The following is a 24,467-nucleotide window of genomic DNA, read 5'->3' as shown; positions in this document are numbered from 1 at the left end:
ATAACTCAGCATGGGTTATGCTATGTGACAGGGGCTGAGAAAACAGGAAACAAGAACTCCCCTTCTTTTAAGGGGGTTATTCAGATCCTTGATGGTGCTATGTAATGGATTCTCTGATGGGGTCGCCCACATATATGCATGCTGCCGAACTGAGGGAAGAGTTGTTAGTGTGAAAGCTTTCAAAAAAAATTTAGAAGGGTCATTTTTTATTTAATCCAAACCCTCTGGATACTTAATAAGAGACAATGAAACTGTATTTTTATGTGGAACCTCACAGGACAGTCATCTAGATGAAGAGTGGTGTATATGCAGCCTTCAGTTGTGTTCCAGGGACCACAGGTTATCAGAACTAAAAATGCTCATAGATAATTCATCAAATCTACTCCTGTCATGTATTATGAAGGGAAACAGAGGCAAGAGGAAGTCTAATACCTTGTCCAAACTCCCACTGTAATTTTTTGGCAGCCAAAACAAAAATCAGGTATTTGCTTCTATTGAACTTGTGGTATGTCAAATTGATTACATTTTATTTTGGATTACTATTATCATTATCATTATTATTAACATGTATTATGTGCTTGCCATGTGCCAGACAGCTCCCAGGGTGCTTTAAGTGCTTGCCTCTTTGAATCTCCAAACTAAGCTGAGAAGGCAGGTGTTAATAGTCCTCATTTTACACATAAGGAAATTATGGACCAAAGAATGTCATTAATTTGTAAAGACACAGAGCTAAGAAATAGCAGAGGCAGGATATGAACCCAGGTCTGTGGGACTCTACAAGCCCGTAACGAGGCATTATATCTCAAGGCTTTGTAGTTTGCTCTGGTTGGCTACCTGTCAATTCATTCTCCACATCTAGGATCATGAAAAATAAAACACCACTCTTAGAGCTCAGCTGAAAGCAGGCTAATGTCTGTTCATGAAGCCTTACTGGGGGAGGAGGTGGTTTGCTGACGATCAGTAGCATTTCCGCCCTCTTCTGCCTGTCATGAGAGCACCCTCCGGCCAACTGAAACAACACTGAGAAGTGGAGCAGAGAAAACCAGTCCAAGGGCCTGGCCTGCCCCAATGGAGACATTCACAGCGTTGCTATAACAAGAACAGGATCTGTGATAAGGAGCTGGGAAAATCTGTAACAGTGAAGGCGACGCCCACATCAGGCTGTGGAGATAGACCAGAGTCAGCCCTGGGACTCGCCCAGCGTGGGAGAGAGGGCATGGATCCCAGGATGCAAATTTTGTTTTCCTTCCTTTCCAAAGTGCTGCTGATTCCTGACTGAGGCTTGGTCTTTGTCAAGCCAGCTACTCAGGGTCAGGAGGAGCCAGGATCCCTTTTGGATTTGGTGCCTGCTTAACTCTCTTACTTTAACTCCTGTTCCTCCAACACCTTCATCCTATGTGCTAGCACACAGAACTGTATTAATCTGTCCCAGAATGCTCTGTGCTACTGAAGATACTTCCTTATGCCACTTTCCTTCCCATTCTTTTTTTTTTTTTTTAACTTGAGAATATCTTTTCATTCTCCAAGATTTGGCTGGGTGTGGGGGCTCACACCTGTTATCCCAGCACTTTGGTAGGCCGAGGTGGGCAGATCACTTGAGGCCAGGAATTCAAGACCAGCCTGGCCAACATGGTGAAATTCCATGTCTACTAAAAGTATAAAAATTAGCCAGACATGGTAGCACATGCCTGTAATCCCAGCTACACAGGAGGCTGAGGCAGGAGGATCACTTGAACCCGGGAGACAAAGGTTACAGTGAGCTGAGATCACGCCACCGCATTCCAGCCTGGGAAACAGAGTGAGACGCCGTCTCAAAAAAAAAAAAAAAAGTTCTTCGAGATTTATTCAATGTGGCACTTTACCTGGAAAGGTCTCATTAGTCTATAATCCATAACACTCCACTTGTTCAGATGAGAGTGGCTTTGGTTCCTCCCTCAAGGGCAGTCACTATACCTTGGGAGAATCTCTGATGGGACACTCCCAGTACTATAGTAGAGCTCAGCTTAAAGCAGGCTAATGTCTGTTGATGGAGCCTTACTAGAAGGAGGAGGTTTGCTGATGATTGGTAGCATTTCTACCCTTTTCTACCTGTGATGACAGCACCCTCTGACCAACTGAAACAACACAGAAATGGAGCAGATAAAACCAGTCCACGGACATGGCCCGCCCCACTGGAGACATTCACAGTGCAGCTGTAACAAGAGCAGGAGCTGCTCTTTCATTAAAATTGTGGGTTCATGTTTTTGTCTTCCTCAATATATTTCTGTCATTTTGAAAGCTGAGACAATGCAGTATTCCTCTTTGTATTTACAAGATGTAGTGGAATAAACATTACATTGCAGATTCTCAATAAATACTGGGTGAATGAGTATATGAATGAACAAATAAACAGACTGATGAGCTCAAATTAATTTCATAAAAGAAGCCCTGGCCCAGTAGATGGAGCCAGAAATAATTTATCTTTCATCCCCTTTTCATGGGCCTGATCCAGAGTACCAGGTATAGAAAGAACAGCTCTTGAATAACTATAGTGCAGCAGCTGGAGGGAGAGTCCACAGAGATGGTCCACATTGCACATATGGGAAACTGTCATTCAGGGAGGTTGGGTGACCCCCCACTCACTATCCTCCCAGGGCTGGAAGGCTTTCAAGTGGGCACTGGACACAGCTCTTTTCCATCAATCAGGCAGGTAGTATTGCCACCACTTTACAGATGAAGCAAACATATTAGTTCACCAAATGGTTACTGAGTATTTATAATAGGCCTGTCCCTGTGTTAAGACTTGGGTAGGAGGGGAGATAGATGAATAAACAGAAGTACAGAATGTATGGAGGAGTGTTCCTGAACATGCAGCTGGAGACTAAATTTTCTTGGAGGGAGAGTAAGGCTAGAATCTGGAAAATTCTCAACTTAGACCAATGTGACACCTCCTGAATTTAGGAATGGTCACCTCTTTTTATTATCTATTCAACCTACCCATTTTGCTATAGACCTACTAACTTCCAGTCCAGTACAGAGTGTTTTACATACTTTGCCTTTTTAAATCTCCCAGTTACTCCTAAAATCTGTTTAACAGATGAGGAGACTGAGGTTCCAAGTAGATAAGTAACCATAAAGTCTCCCAGCTTGTAAGGGGTAGAGTCAGAGTATACACCCAGATCTGTCTTTGTCTAACTCTGCACCTCCCAGTGAGCCATGGCTCACTTGGAATACGCATTGTGTCCCTGATGTACAGGTGTTCGAAATAGCATGTACCAGACTTCTGTGAAATGCATGCCTCTCCAACAGTTTATGAGCACCTACTAAATGCAGACATTAGTGCTGGGCTCTAGAAATGTATACAAGGAAGACCAAGAAGGGTTCTAATTACTAAAGGGTCAAGAGTCCCTTGTGGGATGGGGGAAGAAACAGAGCAATTAAAAGGCAGAAGTGCCAAGACAGATACCCCAAAGCCCTGCAGGAAACAAAAGAAAGTAACTCTCTCTTCCTAGGAAAGCCAGAGAGGTCAAGCATCATGCTTATTTATTGATGGCCAGCTTCTAGAGATTTAATTTAGAATATAGTCAAGTCCATTTGGTGAGCACATAGCCAAGAAGTACGAAACTGGATGCAACGGGTAAGTTTTAACAAGTCTGAGATGTTGGCAGCCTCTGCATTTTCAAGTTCTCTCTCCCCACCTCTGAGTCGCTAAACTGTATTCAAGAACTGGGTTAACCACTTTCAACCGATTAGCAGTTGATTCATGATTTGGGTGAACTGATCACTTAGTAGCTTGGTGATTGATAGTGATTTCAAATCCACATACATATTAGAAAACCGTGGGGAGCTTTAAAAAATACCAATGCTCAGGCCACACTTCAGAACATTTAAAACAGAATTTTGAGAGAAGGGTCACAGGTTGGTAGCTTGAAGGAGGACACACACACCCCTTATTGTAATTTTATTTTGCAGCCAGTTGGAACCTACTGCTATGAGGAAAAACTCCCAGTTTTGGCAGCCCTAAAGCTACAGACAGGACTAAAGAAAAATTAAATTCCTAAGATAAATAAGGTAGGCAATGGCTGTTTATCTGCTCCTCTCTCCACAGGGCCTTTGCATAGCCCATTCCTTCTGCTTGGATCTTCAGTCCCCACGTCAACCCACCCTTCCACATTCAATTAAGTTCTCATTCTCCTAGCTCTCATCTCAAGGTCTCTTTCCCTATGGAGGCCACCAAGTCAGGACCCTCTGTTATCTGTCCTCATGATACTTGCTTCCTTACTTCACAGCCCTTTCCTCAGCCTGCAATCATATAACCGAGAGAGTAAGTTTCTGACTGAAGTCCATCTCATGCACTAGACTGAAAACCTCCCAAAAGTGGGACCAAAATAATTGTGATTTCCTCTGTCTGTAACTAGGACCTAAATTGGGGACTGTCACAGAGGGAGCACTCAATAGACATTTTTTTGAATGAATGAATAGGTAAATGATGAATGGAAAATATGAACAAATTAGTAAAGATAAAAATTCACCTATACTCTAGGCGACAAAACAAAATCGAATCAGATCTAGTGTTTTTTTCTAGCCTTCAGGCTTTTGTGTTTGCTGTTTTGCTTGGTATTTCAACCTTAAATGATCTTTTCTGTAGGTCTACATTTCAAAATCCCTCTCATCCTTCAAAGCCTCATTCCAAAACCTCATCCTGCATCATGCCTTTTCAAAACATCCTGCAGGAAGTGAATTTTCTCTTCTATACAAAAGTTGGAAGCTTAATTGTAATGTGCTACTCTATGTTGCCTTGGGAACATATTATCATTTTTAAGAGATTATAAGCAATTTGAAGGCGGTACTCACCTAATTCATTTCTGCCCTTTCCCTCGTGGTACCTAGTAAAGTGCCTGCCATATAGTAGATACCCTGTAATTATTGTTTTAATGCCTACATGAATAGTATATATCATGGGTAAGTGGTCAATGGACTTCTGGACTCATTTCTCAAACGCAAGCAAAGGGACAGTCGCACAGATTTTTAAACTCATATGTATTCTAAGGATTTAGGTTAGGAAAAAGTTACAAATCAGTCTCCTTTTCTCTTTCCCTTTGTAGATCACACTCTAATATTTTTCCGCTGGCAGAGAGAATGAAGATATGACAGTGGTTCTGCATGAGTTTGGATAATTATATTTTTCACATTGTTTGGCAGTTAAGATTGACAACTACTGATTATTTAAGGTACTGTGTATTCTTCAAAAATAATTCTAAACACAAAAGTAATAATTGGATATAATTGCAAAACCAATTGATGTGGTCCCAGCACATGCTTGAGTTTATGGGCCTCAGTTTCCCATCCATAAAATAAAGGGGGTGGAATAAATCAGTGTTTTTCAGTGTCTATTGACCCAAGATACACATTGTAGCTCATTCAGAGTGCATTTATTCATTTGGTAAATATTTAATAAGCACCTACTATAGTAAATCAAAAACATCTTCTTCTAGCAGAGAAACAGACACCTGTCAACAATTGTATAAATGTATGTACTATTTCTATGCCTGGGTTATAAAGGTATTTTGACAGAGTATAGCATGAAGATTTTAGTTGGTCAGGGAGGTCAGGAATAACTACCATAATAGGAAAACCACTTTCTGGGATATGGGCAAGTATTAATTAGAATTCCTCAAAGAAGCAGAACCAATATGATGTGTGAGATAGATTTTTACTTTAAGGAATTGGCTCATACAATTGTATGAGATGTCAAGTCCAAAAATCTGCAAGGTAGCCTGGCAGGCTGGAGACACGGGAAAGAGTTGATGTTGTAGTTTGAGTCCAAAGGCAGTCTGGAGGCAGAATTCCCTCTTCTTTAGAGGACTCAGGTCTCTTATTTATAAAAGCCTTCAACTGTTTGGATAAGATCCAACCACATTAGGGTAATCTGCTTTATTCAAAGGTCAATTTATTTAAATGTTAATCTCATCTAAAAATACTTTTGCAGCAACATCAAGATTGGTATTTAACCAATTATCTAAGTACCATGGCTTAGCCAAGTTGACACATAAAATGAATGATCACAGGGTAAATACGAAGGACAAAAGGAAGCCAAGGGGGTGTGGGGAATGACTAAGAGAAGGATGGTGAGAGAGGAGACCTAGGGCAGGCAGGGGAATGGCCACACAGTGCCATGTAATTGATGTGTCTCTTTTCTACAAGTAGTAAGTTTTTCAAGGATTTGAATCAGAGAATAGACATAATCAGACATGCTTTCCAAAACTAGCATTGTGGCGAAGGACTAAGATGGTGATGGGGCCGATGGGGAGGTGTGGATGGATAGGAACATGCTACATATGTAAAGTGTGAAGCACCAGATGATGGATTTGACAGGTTGGAAGACCAACCAACAGTCCCAGTTCCAGCACTGAAAATCCTATGTCCTGGCAAACCCCTCAGTCCCAGCAAATAGGGATGGTTGGTCACCCTAAAAAGAAATTCCAGTGATACTATTTAAGTTTCTGAGTACCTAAGGGTCACCCTGAATACTCTTCAATTTGCTAAGTTAGGTGTTGTCTATAGTAAAGTGTGTGTGATGAACTCACAGTGGATGGATAAAACTTGCTGGAAAACATGTCCTGCAAGTCCCCTTTTAGCCTTATATTCTGAATCCTCTAAACCCAGAGCAATGTGTGCAAAGGCAGCATCTTCCAGAAAGCCAACATCAAGAATTTCGAAGAACAAAGCTCTTCCATTGAGGTACAATTTTCAAATCCTCCTGATTTCATTTCATTCTCCAATGGCTACCTCAACCCAGTAACTTGCTAGTATCACAAGCACTTAATTCATTAATTTCACACATAGTTAGAGTTAGGGTTAGGTTGGGTTAGGGTTAGGGTTAGAGTTAGGTTACGTTTGTTCAAGCAAACACGGAAACATGTTGGGAAAGTGTCAAGGATGATAGATCTTTGCCTTTACTCAATGAAGAAAAACTCAATGAAAGATTTTCTTTACCTTATTTCGTCCCATTTGTGTTCCCTTTCCCATATGTTATTTGAGAGAGAACATTTTACCAACTATAACCATCTCATTTATTTATTGTTTATTTGTTAATTTCAAGAGAGTTGGCTTTTTTCATTATGAAGTGTATTATGCTTACAAAAGAATCAAAAAATAGAGATGGAAAAGAAACATGAACTCACTACTGGAGCCCAAGAGCAGCTTAATTCCATAATTTTTAATAAATATTTTAATACCTCTATATAAATCATTAGATTGCACAATCCTATATGCATACAAAATTGCATAAATTGTTTATCTAACCTCATATCTGGATTTTGTCTTTCAACATTAAAATGCTAATATTCCCTGTGTTGGGTCACATTCTTTATTTAAAACAGAGTGCTTGATGATTGTATTACAGCTCAACAAATGTGTGCTCCACAATTTACCTAACCATTGGCTATTGATGAACATTCACATTTTCATTATACCAACGGGACAATTAACATATTTATGCATAAAGCTGTTCTGTATGTTTGGTGATTTTTCTTAGGCTACATTCCCCAAAGTGGAATTTCTGAGTTAAAGGGCTTTGGTAGTTTAATGCTATTGATACATATTGTGAAATTGTCTTCCAAAAGGGCTGTAGCTATTTTTATGCATGCCAGAAAGTGCGGAAATGCCTGTGGAATATGTGAAAACCTAGACTGGAGGGCACCTCAGTTAGATGGGTTTATGTGAGGGGCTCCTTCCTGGCCTTGGCTCAAGCAGAACATGAGAATTTGCCTTTTCCAGCCAGGTGAGTTCTCAGCAGGACAAGCATGATTTGAGAACAATTCCTAAAGGAAGTATCTTCTAAAAGTAACCTGGATCCATGGGCAAGTTTTATGGCGTCTCTTAATTTTTTGATTACTTATGTAACCTTTGTTTTTGATTTTGTTTTTTTGTTAGTACATTTGTTTATTGCCTGGGAAGATGAACACTTTCTTCAGATTCCCAGGAATTTCAGTGGTTAAACCTTTGTTGTTTCTTCTGACTACGATTCACTTTTCTTCTGATAAAAAAAAGTGCCCAGAAATTTCTTTGGGAAATAGTCATTCCCCACACTCAGCCCATTGGTTTGAAGGGAGTTCACCACTCCTCCAGGGGAGGACACTGATTGGCCTAAGGTGATTTCCATTTATCTATACCCAGTGATTGGATGAGACTGACCACATGACCCAATTCAGGACAATGAGATTCATGCCTGCAGAGTATGTTTCCAACTGTTGAGAGTGAGAAACCTTTTTTTCATAGATGAAAGCTCAGAACCTTGTGTGCTTATCTGCCCATCCTATGGGATTTAGAACAGAAAACTATACACCCCAAGGAAAGACTAACAGATGGGTGTAAGTCCCTGGCCTCTGATGACATCATCTTTGATCCCAGGATCACCTATGCCTGAATCTACATTCCCTAGATCTATGCCTGGACTCCTCAGTTCACTGAAGAGTTTATGATTTATGTTTCTCTTAAAGCATTTTGGGTTGGGATTTCTGTCACTCATCGTCAAAAGAGCCCTAAATAATCTAAGATACATAAAGGAAATAAGGTTGTTAAGACACATTGGGCAGGTTGCAGTGGCTAACGCCTGTAATCACAGGACTTTGGGAGGCCAAAGCAGGCAGATTACTTGAGGTCAAGAGTTCGAGACCAGCCTGGCCAACATGATGAAACCCCATCTCTACTAAAAATACAAAAAAAAAGTTTAGCTGGGCGTGGTGGTGCACCCCTGTAATCCCAGCTACTTGAGAGGCTGAGGCAGGCAAATGAATCGCTTGAACCCAGGAGATGGAGATTGCAGTGAGCCAGATTGTGCCACTGCACTCTAGCCTGGGTGATGAAGTGAGACTTTGTCAAAAAAAAAAAAAAAAGACACATTGAATTGAATTTCAATTTTTTTTTTTTTCACATCTGGGATTTGCAGGCCAGATAGGGACATTGACTTAACCAAAGGTAACTTAGAAAAGGCACTAAGATGCAAAATCTCCCTTTCAGTATAAGGCTCTTATCAAATACCTACTTTCCCTTCCATTTCACAGAAAGATCGATAGTTGTACAAGTCTTTTCTAGTTATTTCTGCGTTATCTCCAATGCACTGCTGAAGACTCTGCACATCTAGAAAATAATTGGGAATACCATATTTGAGGGTTTTTTTCAGTGTCCCTTTATAATCAGAAAGTTTTCTTTAAAACAAAACAAAAAATAGAATCCTGGGTGCAATGGCTCACACCTCTAATCCCAGCATTTTGGGAGACTGAAGTGCGCAGATCATTTGAGCCCAGGAGTTCAAGACCACCCTGGGCAACATGGTGAAACCCCATATCTACTAAAAATACAAAAAAAAAAAAAATTAGCCAGGCGTGGTGGTGGGTACTTGTAGTCCCAGCTACTTGGGAGGCTGAGGCAGGAGGATTGATTGATCCCGGGAGATGGAGGTTGAGTGAGCTGTGATCCCGCCACTGTCTGGGTGGCAGAGTGAGACCCTGACTTAAAAAAAGAAAAAGAAAAGAATATTATTTCTTTCAATTGCTCAGAGCCCAATTCAGAGTGGTTACTTTTGGGTCCTATATTTTGAGTTGAAGAAACATTTGTAAAGGAAAAGCCCATTGTTTCTTATATCTTTGGCAAGAGCCAGGCATTTTTAGGCAGTTGGCTCAGTTATAAATGGAGTCAGTTCCTGGAGAACTCCAGGTCCATCTCTGGGACACCCTTCAACCTGGTTCTTTTGGAGTAGCTTCTAGCACAGGATTCAAGTCTCAGTAGCCTCCCAGTTTTTGGTGTCATGACTGAGTGCTGACAATGGATATTTGAACTTTCAATGTAATCTGGAAAACCTCATTAGTTATGTAACTCAGAATAACTCATTGGTAGATGTTCCAAGGACAGGAAACCTGACTGCACTTATCAACAAAGCACAGCTTACATTGTTGCAAACTGATAGAATGTTAGAGTTGGAAGGGCTGAGATAACTCATTAACATAGCCTTCTCATTTTCCAGAGGTAGAAACTCAGGTTTCAGAATAGCAAAGTGAGTTCCTTAAAGGCACACAGTAAGTCAGGGGTGGAGCTAGGGTGAGTTCATCTTTTTGTCTTACAGTCTTTTTAGGGAACTGGAAAGGCTACCACTGCTTCATCCTTAGTGATATTGGTAAAAAGATCACCATTGAGTTCTGAAGATGCAGAAACACAGTTAACTATCACAACCTCTTGGTTTATTGGTTTGAGGATATGATCACCGCTGATCACAACCCATTGAAGTAAGATTTAGCTATTAAAAATTGGAACCAATTTCCAACCCTCTATTCTTAAGTCTGTGTGAACACCATTTGGTAGCCCCAGCAGCCCAACAGGATTCTCATTAACCAACCCCTAGGGGAGACTTTTGCCAGCCTACATAACTAGTCTGCTGTAATTCATCAGACTGGTATATAGCACAGCTAGTGCTTGAAGCTAGTGCTCACCCACACTAAAGAGCCCCTTTTGGGATAGTCTCCGCTGCTGTTCCTGACTAAAATTCTCCATTCTCTCTTGCTGCTGCCTTAAATGCCTGGGTTGCAAATTCTGGTCATACATCTTAAATGCTGTAACTATGGTTCTTCCTTTATTTGCCTAGTTATGTTTGAGATTGGTTAAAAACACATACATACAGTGAGCGGAGTTGCAGGTGATGATTTGAACAGGCAAATTCTATTTATTTAACACTAAAGTAACTTTGCCTAGCGATGCCTTTCTGGAGAACTGATTCTCAAATTACTGGGGCTCCAGTAGCCCTGAGTTCCAGGGAAACTAATAGACTGGTGCCTGAGCCTCTTCTTTCCTCTTAACCCCTTCAATCACCTCTGACAATTGCTATGAGCATGGTTTTCACAACTTTAAGCAGCTCCTTCCAGATACTCTTTGCAGGAGTGTTGATAAGAAACCTAAACACGGATGTCAGGGAGAAACAGATTAGAATGACTTTTGAAATCCTCTGCTGGGTGTGTAGAGGGAAATTTATAGCACTAAATGCCCACAAGAGAAAGCAGGAAAGATCCAAAATTGACAACCTAACATCACAATTAAAAGAACTAGAAAAGCAAGAGCAAACACATTCAAAAGCTAGCAGAAGGCAAGAAATAACTAAAATCAGAGCAGAACTGAAGGAAATAGAGACACAAAAAACCCTTCAAAAAATTAATGAATCCAGGAGCTGGTTTTTTGAAAGGATCAACAAAATTGATAGACCGCTAGCAAGACTAATAAAGAAAAAAAGAGAGAAGAATCAAATAGACACAATAAAAAATGATAAAGGGGATATCACCACCGATCCCACAGAAATACAAACTACAATTAGAGAATACTACAAACACCTCTATGCAAATAAACTAGAAAATCTAGCAGAAATGGATAAATTTCTCGACACATACACTCTCCCAAGACTAAACCAAGAAGAAGTTGAATCTCTGAATAGACCAATAACAGGAGCTGAAATTGTGGCAATAATCAATAGTTTACCAACCAAAAAGAGTCCAGGACCAGATGGATTCACAGCTGAATTCTACCAGAGGTACAAGGAGGAACTGGTACCATTCCTTCTGAAACTATTCCAATCAATAGAAAAAGAGGGAATCCTCCCTAACTCATTTTATGAGGCCAGCATCATTCTGATACCAAAGCCAGGCAGAGACACAACCAAAACAGAGAATTTTAGACCAATATCCTCGATGAACATTGGTGCAAAAATCCTCAATAAAATACTGGCAAAACGAATCCAGCAGCACATCAAAAAGCTTATCCACCATGATCAAGTGGGCTTCATCCCTGGGATGCAAGGCTGGTTCAATATACACAAATCAATAAATGTAATCCAGCATATAAACAGAGCCAAAGACAAAAACCACATGATTATCTCAATAGATGCAGAAAAAGCCTTTGACAAAATTCAACAACCCTTCATGCTAAAAACTCTCAATAAATTAGGTATTGATGGGACGTATTTCAAAGTAATAAGAGCTATCTATGACAAACCCACAGCCAATATCATACTGAATGGGCAAAAACTGGAAGCATTCCCTTTGAAAACTGGCACAAGACAGGGATGCTCTCTCTCACCACTCCTATTCAACACAGTGTTGGAAGTTCTGGCCAGGGCAATTAGGCAGGAGAAGGAAATAAAGGGTATTCAATTAGGAAAAGAGGAAGTCAAATTGTCCCTGTTTGCAGATGACATGATTGTATATCTAGAAAACCCCATTGTCTCAGCCCAAAATCTCCTTAAGCTGATAAGCAACTTCAGCAAAGTCTCAGGATACAAAATCAATGTACAAAAATCACAAGCATTCTTATACACCAACAACAGACAAACAGGGAGCCAAATCATGAGTGAACTCCCATTCGCAATTGCTTCAAAGAGAATAAAATACCTAGGAATCCAACTTACAAGGGATATGAAGGACCTCTTCAAGGAGAACTACAAACCACTGCTCAAGGAAATAAAAGAGGATACAAACAAATGGAAGAACATTCCATGCTCATGGGTAGGAAGAATCAATATCTTGAAAATGGCCATACTGCCCAAGGTAATGTACAGATTCAATGCCATCCCCATCAAGCTACCAATGCCTTTCTTCACAGAATTGGAAAAAACTACTTTAAAGTTCATATGGAACAAAAAAAGAGCCCGCATCGCCAAGTCAATCCTAAGCCTAAAGAACAAAGCTGGAGGCATCACACTACCTGACTTCAAACTATACTACAAGGCTACAGTAACCAAAACAGCATGGTACTGGTACCAAAACAGAGATATAGATCAATGGAACAGAACAGAGCCCTCAGAAATAACGCCGCATATCTACAACTATCTGATCTTTGACAAACCTGAGAAAAACAAGCAATGGGGAAAGGATTCCCTATTTAATAAATGGTGTTGGGAAAACTGGCTAGCCATATGTAGAAAGCTAAAACTGGATCCCTTCCTTACACCTTATACAAAAATCAATTCAAGATGGATTAAAGACTTAAACGTTAGACCTAAAACCATAAAAACCCTAGAAGAAAACCTAGGCATTACCATTCAGGACATAGGCATGGGCAAGGACTTCATGTCTAAAACACCAAAAGCAATGGCAACAAAAGCCAAAATTGACAAATGGGATCTAATTCAACTAAAGAGCTTCTGCACAGCAAAAGAAACTACCATCAGAGTGAACAGGCAACCTACAAAATGGGAGAAAATTTTCGCAACCTACTCATCTGACAAAGGGCTAATATCCAGAATCTACAATGAACTCAAACAGATTTACAAGAAAAAAACAAACAACCCCACCAAAAAGTGGGCGAAGGACATGAACAGACACTTCTCAAAAGAAGACATTTATGCAGCCAAAAAACACATGAAAAAATGCTCATCATCACTGGCCATCAGAGAAATGCAAAACAAAACCACAATGAGACACCATCTCACACCAGTTAGAATGGCAATCATTAAAAAGTCAGGAAACAACAGGTGCTGGAGAGGATGTGGAGAAATAGGAACATTTTACACTGTTGGTGGGACTGTAAACTAGTTCAACCATTGTGGAAGTCAGTGTGGCGATTCCTCAGGGATCTAGAACTAGAAATACCATTGGACCCAGCCATCCCATTACTGGGTATATACCCAAAGGACTATAAATCATGCTGCTATGAAGACACATGCACACGTATGTTTATTGCGGCATTATTCACAATAGCAAAGACTTGGAACCAACCCAAATGCCCAACAATGATAGACTGGATTAAGAAAATGTGGCACATATACACCATGGAATACTATGCAGCCATAAAAAATGATGAGTTCATGTCCTTTGTAGGGACATGGATGAAATTGGAAAGCATCATTCTCAGTAAACTATCGCAAGAACAAAAAACCAAACACGGCATATTCTCACTCATAGGTGGGAATTGAACAATGAGATCACATGGACACAGGAAGGGGAATATCACACTCTGGGGACTGTTGTGGGGTGGGGGGAGGGGGGAGGGATAGCATTGGGAGATATACCTAATGCTAGATGACGAGTTAGTGGGTGCAGCGCACCAGCATGGCACATGTATACATATGTAACTAACCTGCACAATGTGCACATGTACCCTAAAACTTAAAGTATAATAATAAAAAAAAAAAAAAAAGAAAAAAGAAAGCCTCTGCTGGGTGCCAAAGGTCTCAATCAAGGGACGGAGGCTTCCTGGTCTAGTCACCACCCACTCAACCTTGAAGATATGGCTTCAGGCCTGCAGCCCCTTCAGCAAAAATTGGTCTTTTCCCAGATCCCAACATTGGGTTTGGGCTCATTTTTGTCACATCTTTTCAGAGACAGCCCTACTGAGTAGTTCTATGAGGCTTATACTGGCAGAGAAAACCTCTCCTCTGCAATGGTGGGAGATAAAAAGGATCCAGAGGTGAGGCCCAGTTGTGAAGTCAGAATCAAATAAGCCAAAGACCCAACTAATTATGGATTATCACACCCAAAAGAAGCTAAAATCAAGTGTGAATCTCCAAGATCAAGAGCAGTGATCTTGGATGTCCAGTGTGGGCAGAATGGGCACACCAATTCCATGCCTGTAGAGAGCAGCTTCCAACACATTTTTGTGTTGAAATCTGTGGATATTGTTTCTGTCCTTGTCACAATGTACTAGGTGTAGGGGGGACAGTGAGTTCCCAGCTGGTGGGACCATCTGGGAAATTCAAGAACTAGAACCTGGATAACTCCTTAAGAGATGTGATCAAGCAGAACCAGAGAAAAAAATCAATAGCAACTGACTGGAAGGGAAGCATTTGAGAGGGCAGGAAGAGATGGTGTGTGCATTAACATGGTGTTGGTGAGTGATGGCTATAGGAGAGTAAATTTGTTCTCCAAAACTTCCCATTTGCTCAATTCCAAGTCCCATTCATGGCCACGTGGCTACTGTGCAATTCCATCCCACTCTAGAGGAAACCCAGGCTTCAGCCCCTCTCTGCTGGGTGCCCAACACCCCTCCTGAGCCAGCAAGCCCAGCTCTTCAGGGCTTGATTGCCCTGTGATTAAGGGGGTTTGTTGGGGCCTGACACACTGAGAAAGGGGTGGGGAGGAGGCAATAAATATTTAACGAGAATTTTGCTTCTGGGCCTTCCTCTTACAGGGGGATATGGAAATCAAAAGTCTTCACTGGAACCCCTGTTGTTGGAGGACAAAGAAATGTTCTCTCACTGCTGTGAAAATGAGCCACTGGCTCCTCAGCAAGAGGCAGCTTGGAGAGGGGGTGTCTTTAATCAATCACAGAGCAAAAAGCCCTTTCCTGGAAAGAATTATCCCCAGTGCTTTCTCTAATAACACTCCCAGGCCGCAGCCTGATGGATGTGGAGTTATGGCCTTGGAGTAGAGGCTCTTGGGTTATGAGGTGGAGATTTATGCCGCATTCTCCACCAGTGCTCCCCACCCTGTTCTGAGAACAGAGCCATCAAAGTGGGTCCTGCAGCTCGCTGGGCCACGCGAAGTTGCTGGTCGGGGCTTCAAATAATATGATGAAGGACTAGAGGACAAAACTTTCTGAAACAAAGCCTTAGACATTGTGAGGAGCTGGATTTGTGGCTTTAGACAAGTCAATGTGACTCTCTGTATCTTTAAATTTCCAAACCTGTAATACAGAGATAGTAATAATGGTACCAACCACATAGGATTTTTTCTGAGAATTTAATGAGACAAATGTCGGCCTCTGAGCCCAAGCCAAGCCATCGCATCCCCTGTGACTTGCACGTATACGCCCAGATGGCCTGAAGTAACTGAAGAATCACAAAAGAAGTGAATATGCCCTGCCCCACCTTAACTGATGACATTCCACCACAAAAGAAGTGTAAATGGCCGGTCCTTGCTTCAAGTGATGACATTACCTTGTGAAAGTCCTTTTCCTGGCTCATCCTGGCTCAAAAAGCACCCCCACTGAGCACCTTTCGACCCCCACTCCTGCCCGCCAGAGAACAAAGCCCCTTTGACTGTAATTTTCCATTACCTTCCCAAATCCTATAAAACGGCCCCACCCTTATCTCCCTTTGCTGACTCTCTTTTCGGACTCAGCCCGCCTGCACCCAGGTGAAATAAACAGCCATGTTGCTCACACAAAGCCTGTTTGGTGGTCTCTTCACACAGACGCGCATGAAATTTGGTAATCAGGTAAGCGGCCTCTTCTTACTCTCTTCTCCAACCTCTCTCACTGTCCCTCAACCACTTTCTCCTTTCCACTCTTCAATCTCTCCCTTCTCTTAATTTCAATTCCTTTCATTTTCTTGGAGAGACAAAGGAGACACGTTTTATCCGTGGACCCAAAACTCCGGCGCCGGTCATGGACTGGGAAGGCAGCCTTCCCTTGGTGTTTAATCATTGCTGGGACACTTCTCTGATTATTCACCCACATTTCAAAGATGTCAGACCACGCAGGGACGCCTGCCTTGGTCCTTCACCCTTAGCGGCAAGTCCCGCTTTCCTGGGGCAGGGGCAAGTACCCCTCAACCCCTTCTCCTTCACCCTTAGTGGCAAGTCCCGCTTTCCTAGGAGGCAAGAACCCCCAGTCGTTTATTTCTGCACCCCAACCTCTTATCTCTGTGCCCCAATCCCTTATTTCTGTACCCTGACCTCTTATCTCTGTGCCCCAATCCCTTATTTCCGTGCCCCAACCCCTTCTCTGCTTTTCTGGAGGGCAGGAACCCTCCACCCCTTCTCCGTGTCTCTACTCTTTTCTCTGGACTTGCCTCCTTCGCTATGGGTAAGCTTCCACCTTCCATTCCTCCTTCTTCCTTAGCCTGTGTTTTCAAAAACTTAAAACCTCTTCAACTCACACCTGACCTAAAACCTAAATGCCTTTTCTTCTGCAATGCCACTTGACCCCAATACAAACTCGACAGTAGTTCCAAATAGCCAGAAAATGGCACTTTGAATTTTTCCATCCTGCAAAATCTAAATAATTCTTGTAAAATAGGCAAACGGTCTGAGGTGCCTGACATCCAAGCATTCTTTTACACATCAGTCCCTTCCTAGTCTCTGTGCCCAGTGCAACTCGTCCCAAATCTTCCTTCTTTCCCTCCCGCCTGTCCCCTCAGTACCAACTCCAAGCGTCGCTGAGGCTTTCTAATCTTCCTTTTCTACAGACCCATCTGACCTCTCCCTTCCTCCCCAGGCTGCTCCTCGCCAGGCCGAGCTGGGTCCCAATTCTTCCTCAGCCTCCGCTCCTCCACCCTATAATCTTTGTATCACCTCCCCTCACACCTGGTCCGGCTTACAGTTTCGGCCCGTGACTAGCCCTCCCCCACCTGCCCAGCAATTTACTTTTAAAACGGTGGCTGGCGCCAAAGGCATAGTCAAGGTTAATGCTCCTTTTTCTTTATCCCAAATCAGAAGCGTTTAGGTTCTTTTTCATCAAATATAAAAATCCAGCCCAGTTCATAACTTGTTTGGTAGCAACCCTGAGACACTTTACAGCCCTAGACCCTAAAACGTCAAAAGGCCGTCTTATTCTTAAAATACATTTTATTACCCAATCTGCTCCCGACATTAAATAAAACTCCAAAAATTAAATTCCAGCCCTCAAACCCCACAACAGGATTTAATTAACCTCGCCTTCAAGGTGTAGAATAATAGAAAAAAGTTGCAATTCCTTACCTTCACTGTGAGACAAACCCCAGCCACATCTCCAGCACACGAGAACTTCCAAACGCCTGAACCGCAGCGGCCAGGTGTTCCTCCAGAACCTCCTCCCACAGGAGCTTGCTACACGTGCCGGAAATCTGGCCACTGGGCCAAGGAATGCCCGCTGCCCGGGATTCCTCCTAAGCCGCGTCCCATCTGTGTGGGACCCCACTGAAAATCGGACTGTTCAACTCACCTGGCAGCCACTCCCAGAGCCCCTGGAACTCTGGCCCAAGGCTCTCTGACTGACTCCTTCCCAGATCTTCTCGGCTTAGCGGCTGAAGACTGACACTGCCCGATCGCCTCGGAAGCCCCCTAGACCATCACGAACGCCGAGCTTTGGGTAACTCTCACAGTGAAAGGTAAGCCCGTCCCCTTCTTAATCAATATGGAGGCTACCCACTCCACATTACCTTCTTTTCAAGGGCCTGTTTCCCTTGCCTCCATAACTGTTGTGGGTATTGACGGCCAGGCTTCTAAACCTCTTAAAACTCCCCAACTCTAGTGCCAACTCAGAAAATACTCTTTTAAGCACTCCTTTTTAGTTATCCCCACCTGCCCAGTTCCCTTATTAGGCTGAGACACTTTAACTAAATTATCTGCTTCCCTGACTATTCCTGGACTACAGCTATATCTCATTGCTGCCCTTCTTCCCAATCCAAAGCCTCCTTTGCGTCCTCCTCTTGTATCCCCCCACCTTAACCCACAAGTATAAGATACCTCTACTCCCTCCTTGGCGACTGATCATGCACCCCTTACCATCTCATTAAAACCTAATCACCCTTACCCCACTCAACGCCAATATCCCATCCCACAGCACGCTTTAAAAAGATTAAAGCCTGTTATCACTCTCCTGCTACAGCATGGCCTTTTAAAGCCTATAAACTCTCCTTACAATTCTCCCATTTTACCTGTCCTAAAACCAGACAAGCCTTACAAGTTAGTTCCGGATCTGTGCCTTATCAACCAAATTGTTTTGCCTATCCACCCTATGGTGCCAAACCCATATCCTCTCCTATCCTCAATACCTGCCTCTATAACCCATTATTCTGTTCTAGATGTCAAACATGCTTTCTTTACTATTCCTTTGCACCCTTCATCCCAGCCTCTCTCCACTTTCACTTGGACTGACCCTGACACCCATCAAGCTCAGCAAATTACCTAGGCTGTACTGCTGCAAAGCTTCACAGACAGCCCCCATTACTTCCATCAAGCCCAAATTTCTTCCTCATCTGTTACCTATCTCGGCATAATTCTCATAAAAACACACGTGCTCTCCCTGCCAATAGTGTCCGACTGATCTCTCAAACCCCAGCACCTTCTACAAAACAACAACTCCTTTCCTTCCTAAACATGGTTAGTGTGGTCAGAACTCTTACACAAGAGCCAGGACCACACCCTGTAGCCTTTCTGTCCAAACAACTTGACCTTACTGTTTTAGCCTAGCCCTCATGTCTGCCTGCAGCGGCTGCCACTGCTTTAATACTGTTAGAGGCCCTAAAAATCACAAACTATGCTCAACTCACTCGCTACATTTCTCATAACTTCCAAAATCTATTTTCTTCCTCATACCTGACGCATATACTTTCTGCTTCCTGGCTCCTTCAGCTGTACTCACTCTTTGTTGAGTCTCCCACAATTACCATTGTTCCTGGCCCAGACTTCAATCCAGCCTCCCACATTATTCCTGATACCACACCTGACCCCCATGACTGTATCTGTCTGATCCACCTGACATTCATCCCATTTCCCCAGATTTCCTTCTTTCCTGTTCCTCACCCTGATCACGCTTGATTTATTGATGGAGGTTCCACCAGGCCTAATCGCCACACACCAGCAAAGGCAGGTTATGCTATAGTACAAGCCACTAGCCCGCCTCTCAGAACCTCTCATTTCCTTTCCATCGTGGAAATCTATCCTCAAGGAAATAACTTCTCAGTGTTCCATCTGCTATTCTACTACTCCTCAGGGATTATTCAGGCCCCCTCCCTTCCCTACACATCAAGCTCAAGGATTTGCCCCCACCCAGGACTGGCAAATTAGTTTTAATCAACATGCCCGAGTCAGGAAACTAAAATACCTGTTAGTCTAAATAGACACTTTCACTGAATAAGTAAAGGCCTTTCCTACAGGGTCTGAGAAGGCCACCGCAGTCATTTCTTCCCTTCTGTCAGACATAATTCCTCAGTTTAGCCTTCCCACCTCTATACAGTCTGATAACAGATGAGCCTTTATTAGTCAAATCAGCCAAGCAGTTTTTCAGGCTCTTAGTATTCAGTGAAACCTTTATATCCCTTATGGTCCTCCGCCTTCAAGAAAAGTAGAGTGGACTAAAGGTCTTTTAAAAACACACCTCACCAAGCTCAGCCACCAACTTAAAAAGGACTGGACAATACTTTTACCACTTTTGCTTCTCAGAATTCAGGCCTGTCCTCAGAATGCTACAAGGTGTACAGGAGCCCATTTAAGCTCCTGTATAGACGCTCCTTTTTATTAGGCCCCAGTCTCATTCGACACCAGAGCAACTTAGACTGTGCCCCCAAAAAAACTTGTCATCCCTACTATCTTTTGTCTAGTCATACTCCTATTCATCGTTCTCAACTACTCATACATGCCCTGCTCTTGTTTACACTGCCGGTTTACACTGTTTCTCCAAGCCATCACAGCTGATATCTCCTGGTGCTATCCCCAAACTGCCACTCTAAACTCTTGAAGTAAATAAATAATCTTTGCTGGCAGGACTATGCTGAATCTCCTGAGGCACTCTCTAATCAGATATCCTGAGTCGTCCCAATTCTTAAACCTTTTATACCTATTTTTCTCCTTCTCTTATTCCATTTCGTTTCTCAATTCATCCAAAACCGTATCCAGGCCATCACCAATCATTCTATACGACAAATGTTTCTTCTAACATCCCCACAATATCACCCCTTACCACAAGACCTCCCTTCAGCTTAATCTCTCCCACTCTAGGTTCCCACGCCACCCCTAATCCCGCTTGAAGCAGCCCTGAGAAACATCGCCCATTCTCTCTCCATGTCACCCTCCAAAAATTTTCGCCGCCCCAACACTTCAACACCATTTTGTTTTATTTTTCTTATTAATATAAGAAGGCAGGAATGTCAGGCCTCTGAGCCCAAGCCAAGCCATCGCATCCCCTGTGACTTGCAGGTATATGCCCAGATGGCCTGAAGTAACTGAAGAATCACAAAAGAAGTGAATATGCCCTGCCCCGCCTTAACTGATGACATTCCACCACAAAAGAAGTGTAAATGGCCGGTCCTTGCTTTAAGTGATGAGGTTACCTTGTGAAAGTCCTTTACCTGGCTCATCCTGGCTCAAAAAGCACCCCCACTGAGCACCTTGCGACCCCCCACTCCTGCCCGCCAGAGAACAAACCCCCTTTGACTGTAATTTTCCTTTACCTACCCAAATCCTATAAAACGGCCCCACCCTTATCTCCCTTTGCTGACTCTCTTTTCGGACTCAGCCCGCCTGCACCCAGGTGAAATAAACAGCCATGTTGCTCACACAAAGCCTGTTTGGTGGTCTCTTCACATGGATGAGCATGAAAACAATATTGTTAAAAACACTTGGAATGATGTACATATAATAATTACCCTATATGTGTTAGTTTATTTATTTATTTATTTATTTATTTTTAATTACTGTTATTGTGCTGGTGGTGGTAGTGGTTATTCTGGAGGAAGTAGGGACTTAGAACCAAAGTGTCAGGCAACAGCTGTCATGCGAAGAGATAGGAATGTGGTTGATCCAGGGAAAATTCCATGTCTTCTTAGCAATAAGAACTGACCTAGGTTGATTGCTCACTATGCTCAAAGGATGTGTTATTCATTATCTCACTTACCCTCAATGTACTCATCAACATCATCATCATCAGTATCACTACCATCATCGTCATCACCATCGTCATCATCATTATCAGAGATAGAAATAAAATCCAGGTCTGATGGACTTCAAAGCCTGTATTTATTCTTTCTCCCACAGTCATCTCTCTGGCCCTCTGCAATCCTTTCATTTATTGCAACATTGGAATGCCAGGGAGTTATGATTTTAGCCTCTTAGGCTGTTCTGCCCCCCTACTATGCCCATGCTAAATCCCCTCAGCTGCCACTACTGATGATGTTGACCTGAAGCCTCAATTCTGCTCTCCCCCTGAGATAATCCTGACCAGACATTTTGTCTGTCACAGCCACAAGAGTAAGTGTCTTACTGCCATAGGCCCCAGCCTTCCAAGGCTGGCAAAACTCTGGCCATCAAATCCACTCTCGTTCTTCCCCTTGCTCCTCAGAGCTGACTCCATTTCTGGCCTTCTGCCTCAGTTTTCCTCTTTAGCATTTCTATTTCTATTTACACCTCTACTAAATCTTATTCTCTTACAGACAGCCTAGGTATCTGGATCTGAATATCAAAGCCAACTTTCTCCCTGGGGTCTGATTCCCAATTGTCTGAAATTATGGCACTATTACCTGCCTTGCCACTTGCTACAGACCCTGCACTGGAGCCCCCTGCATGGCAAAATGACCTGATAAAGCCTGAGAAAACCATGCATCACAGGCCACTATGAATGAGGTTGCTTTGAATAGTAATGGTGATTACTCTCCTCTCTACTGCTTCATATATTAAACCCAGTTCAACTCTAAATAAAGCAATGGAGGAGTTCACTTATTTCCTCTCCACTTTATTCAGATTCAGATGAAGAGAATGTCATGTTTACTAGCAGAGAATGAACTCCTTTTTGGAAACTGATTTTCCTCCATCAGGTCCTTTTCTGACTTCCTTTTTCCAGTTTCAAGAGGTCTCCTTGTGTTCTGTGTTCATGTTCTCTCACCCATCCTGATTTTCCAAGATTTCCCTACACCTGGATGCCTTATCTTTCTCACGTTAAGGGGAATCACCAACTGCTCCGGACCGAAGCATCCTGCTTGGCCCCTACTCAATTCCTTCATGCTGTGTCTTTGCTACTTCCCATGACCTCATCTCTCAAATTCTGGGATGTCCTTTGCTCTCCTTCCATGTTCAAATGTTGATTTGATATGGAAAGGTAAATGTGGTGAGTGTCCTCAAGGTTCTAGTCTCTTTTGCCTCCCTCCAGACAGCTCTGAGTAGTGTTTGTTAGATTGACCTGTTTGAAGATGGGATATTGATGGACTCATCATTATGTGTGTGGCACCAAGGACAGTGTTCATCACATATAGGAGTCCTGGCTCCTCGCTCTTTCCTGGGCCCATCAACCTCTTGGGGAAGGGTGGCGCTGAACTGATGGCTCATTCCTAAGAGGACTGAGATTATTAAAAAATTGTGTCCCCTTTGTTGCTATCTGACTATTCACAGGTGATCTTCAACATTAGAAGCTCTAATGGGTTCTGCCCTGGTGATGGCCCTTCCCCAGTCTGGACAACACACTTCAAGAGTAAAACTTTGCTGTAAATAAATGAATCAACAAACAAATGAATAACAAGTGAACACATGTGTACAGCAAATGTTGAAACAGCCCTTTCAACTTTAAAGGTACCCCTGAAGGTCATCTTCAGGGAGGAGTAACAGAATGAGGGGTTCACAAATGAAGAGATGGGAGATTTTTGGGAAATAGATACAAGGCCAGAAAGGTCACAGTTAAAGGTTCAAAGCCTCTTGGCTGCTGGTGGTATTCAGGGTGCCTGAAATTACACTCCCTTGCCAAGGATGCTGCAAGGCAACAGGGTGCATATCTGAACCTCCCTCCAATTTTCCCCCAACACTTGATTCCAATATTCTGAAGGGCAAGCTGGGCCTAGTCCAGGTGAGCCAGGACTCTGTATTATACTCACCTTTCTTTCCACTACAACAGCTGGCTGATTGCTCTGTGTTGAAGGGGTTTATGATGACCCTGTTAATTGATGCACAAAACAATCCTTCAAAAGGTAAACTGATCCCACTGCTCCCTGAGGCAGCAGGAAACCTTAGTCTTTGCAGCCTGCCTTCTGTTGCTTGTTCCATACCTGAGATAATAGTGCTTCCCCAGTAAACACCAGCGGGGAAACAGTTAAGCATTGTGTGGTGTATTTCACTCCAGGAGGGCAGTTCAGTGTGTGATTGAACATTCCATCATCATTTGCCATCTTCAAATTGCCCATAAGAAACCCCAACATCTAGATGCAGTGTTAGAACAAAGAGGGCTAGTTACTTTGCATTGTAGGCAGTAGGCAGAAAAATTTGAGCAAAGGCATTAGGATAAATGCAATGATCAGAAAGATGATAGAGATATTTTTTCATGGATTGCTTTTGTTGGTGATTTTTCTTTTTAATGTAGAAAAGCCATATTTTATGAAGGGGTTCAGGGGGGTTTGGGGAGAGAGCAAAAAGTCAAGCAATGTTGTTTTGAATCCCAATTTCCTTTGACGAATACAGTATTCCACCCTAGAACCTTCTCGTATGTATGAGAAAATGTGTAATACATACATATACCAAGAAATGATCTTTCCTCTTCTGAGGAAGCTGCATTCAAATCTTATGTTTAGGGGAGAAGTAAAGAATTTCCATTTTTTTGTTTGTTTTTTTTTATGCACATGCATGATCCATTGCTATGGATTTTATAGCCATTAGCTCATTTAATCCTAGCAAATAATTCCCAAAATAAATATTATAATGCTCATTTTATAAATGAGAAAACTAAGGCTCAGAATCTAAAATTGCTCACATTGGTTCCTAGGGTCAGTTCATTTTGGAACTGGGCTTCTAGACAAGGCTGATTTAACTTAAAGGCTTGATGAGGCAGAATAAGAG

General features: G+C 42.6%; 1 long non-coding RNA gene across 1 annotated transcript in view, besides 7 other annotated features; it reads right to left on the bottom strand.

Moving 5' to 3' along the window:
• LOC124903780 (uncharacterized) overlaps positions 1–19,014 on the bottom strand; it is a 161,687-nt gene extending 142,673 nt beyond the window's left edge. The window contains exon 1 of the long non-coding RNA XR_007065224.1: positions 17,878–19,014. This is a non-coding gene — a long non-coding RNA (uncharacterized LOC124903780). The remainder of the gene's footprint in view (positions 1–17,877) is intronic.
• Positions 14,669–15,197: an enhancer, noted in NCBI's record as "OCT4-NANOG-H3K27ac hESC enhancer chr16:65269764-65270292 (GRCh37/hg19 assembly coordinates)". NCBI's record gives its function as "activates a minimal SCP1, AML or CMV promoter by ChIP-STARR-seq in primed H9 embryonic stem cells {active_cell/tissue: H9 hESC(primed)}" and the evidence as "EXISTENCE:reporter gene assay evidence [ECO:0000049][PMID:30033119]".
• Positions 15,198–15,726: an enhancer, noted in NCBI's record as "OCT4-NANOG-H3K27ac hESC enhancer chr16:65269235-65269763 (GRCh37/hg19 assembly coordinates)". NCBI's record gives its function as "activates a minimal SCP1, AML or CMV promoter by ChIP-STARR-seq in naive H9 embryonic stem cells {active_cell/tissue: H9 hESC(naive)}" and the evidence as "EXISTENCE:reporter gene assay evidence [ECO:0000049][PMID:30033119]".
• Positions 15,338–15,632: a silencer, noted in NCBI's record as "tiled region #682; HepG2 Repressive non-DNase unmatched - State 24:Quies, and K562 Repressive non-DNase unmatched - State 24:Quies". NCBI's record gives its function as "represses a minimal TATA promoter and a strong SV40 promoter by Sharpr-MPRA in HepG2 and K562 cells {active_cell/tissue: HepG2 | K562}" and the evidence as "EXISTENCE:reporter gene assay evidence [ECO:0000049][PMID:27701403]".
• Positions 15,727–16,255: an enhancer, noted in NCBI's record as "OCT4-NANOG-H3K27ac hESC enhancer chr16:65268706-65269234 (GRCh37/hg19 assembly coordinates)". NCBI's record gives its function as "activates a minimal SCP1, AML or CMV promoter by ChIP-STARR-seq in naive and primed H9 embryonic stem cells {active_cell/tissue: H9 hESC(naive and primed)}" and the evidence as "EXISTENCE:reporter gene assay evidence [ECO:0000049][PMID:30033119]".
• Positions 20,404–20,904: an enhancer, noted in NCBI's record as "OCT4-NANOG-H3K27ac hESC enhancer chr16:65264057-65264557 (GRCh37/hg19 assembly coordinates)". NCBI's record gives its function as "activates a minimal SCP1, AML or CMV promoter by ChIP-STARR-seq in primed H9 embryonic stem cells {active_cell/tissue: H9 hESC(primed)}" and the evidence as "EXISTENCE:reporter gene assay evidence [ECO:0000049][PMID:30033119]".
• Positions 20,905–21,405: an enhancer, noted in NCBI's record as "OCT4-NANOG-H3K27ac hESC enhancer chr16:65263556-65264056 (GRCh37/hg19 assembly coordinates)". NCBI's record gives its function as "activates a minimal SCP1, AML or CMV promoter by ChIP-STARR-seq in naive and primed H9 embryonic stem cells {active_cell/tissue: H9 hESC(naive and primed)}" and the evidence as "EXISTENCE:reporter gene assay evidence [ECO:0000049][PMID:30033119]".
• Positions 23,547–24,048: an enhancer, noted in NCBI's record as "NANOG hESC enhancer chr16:65260913-65261414 (GRCh37/hg19 assembly coordinates)". NCBI's record gives its function as "activates a minimal SCP1, AML or CMV promoter by ChIP-STARR-seq in primed H9 embryonic stem cells {active_cell/tissue: H9 hESC(primed)}" and the evidence as "EXISTENCE:reporter gene assay evidence [ECO:0000049][PMID:30033119]".

This window comes from Homo sapiens, chromosome 16 (assembly GCF_000001405.40).
Source record: "Homo sapiens chromosome 16, GRCh38.p14 Primary Assembly".
Classification (NCBI taxonomy): Eukaryota; Metazoa; Chordata; class Mammalia; order Primates; family Hominidae; genus Homo; species Homo sapiens.
Note: the sequence above shows the minus strand (reverse complement) of the source record. Positions and strands in the feature narration are given on the sequence as shown.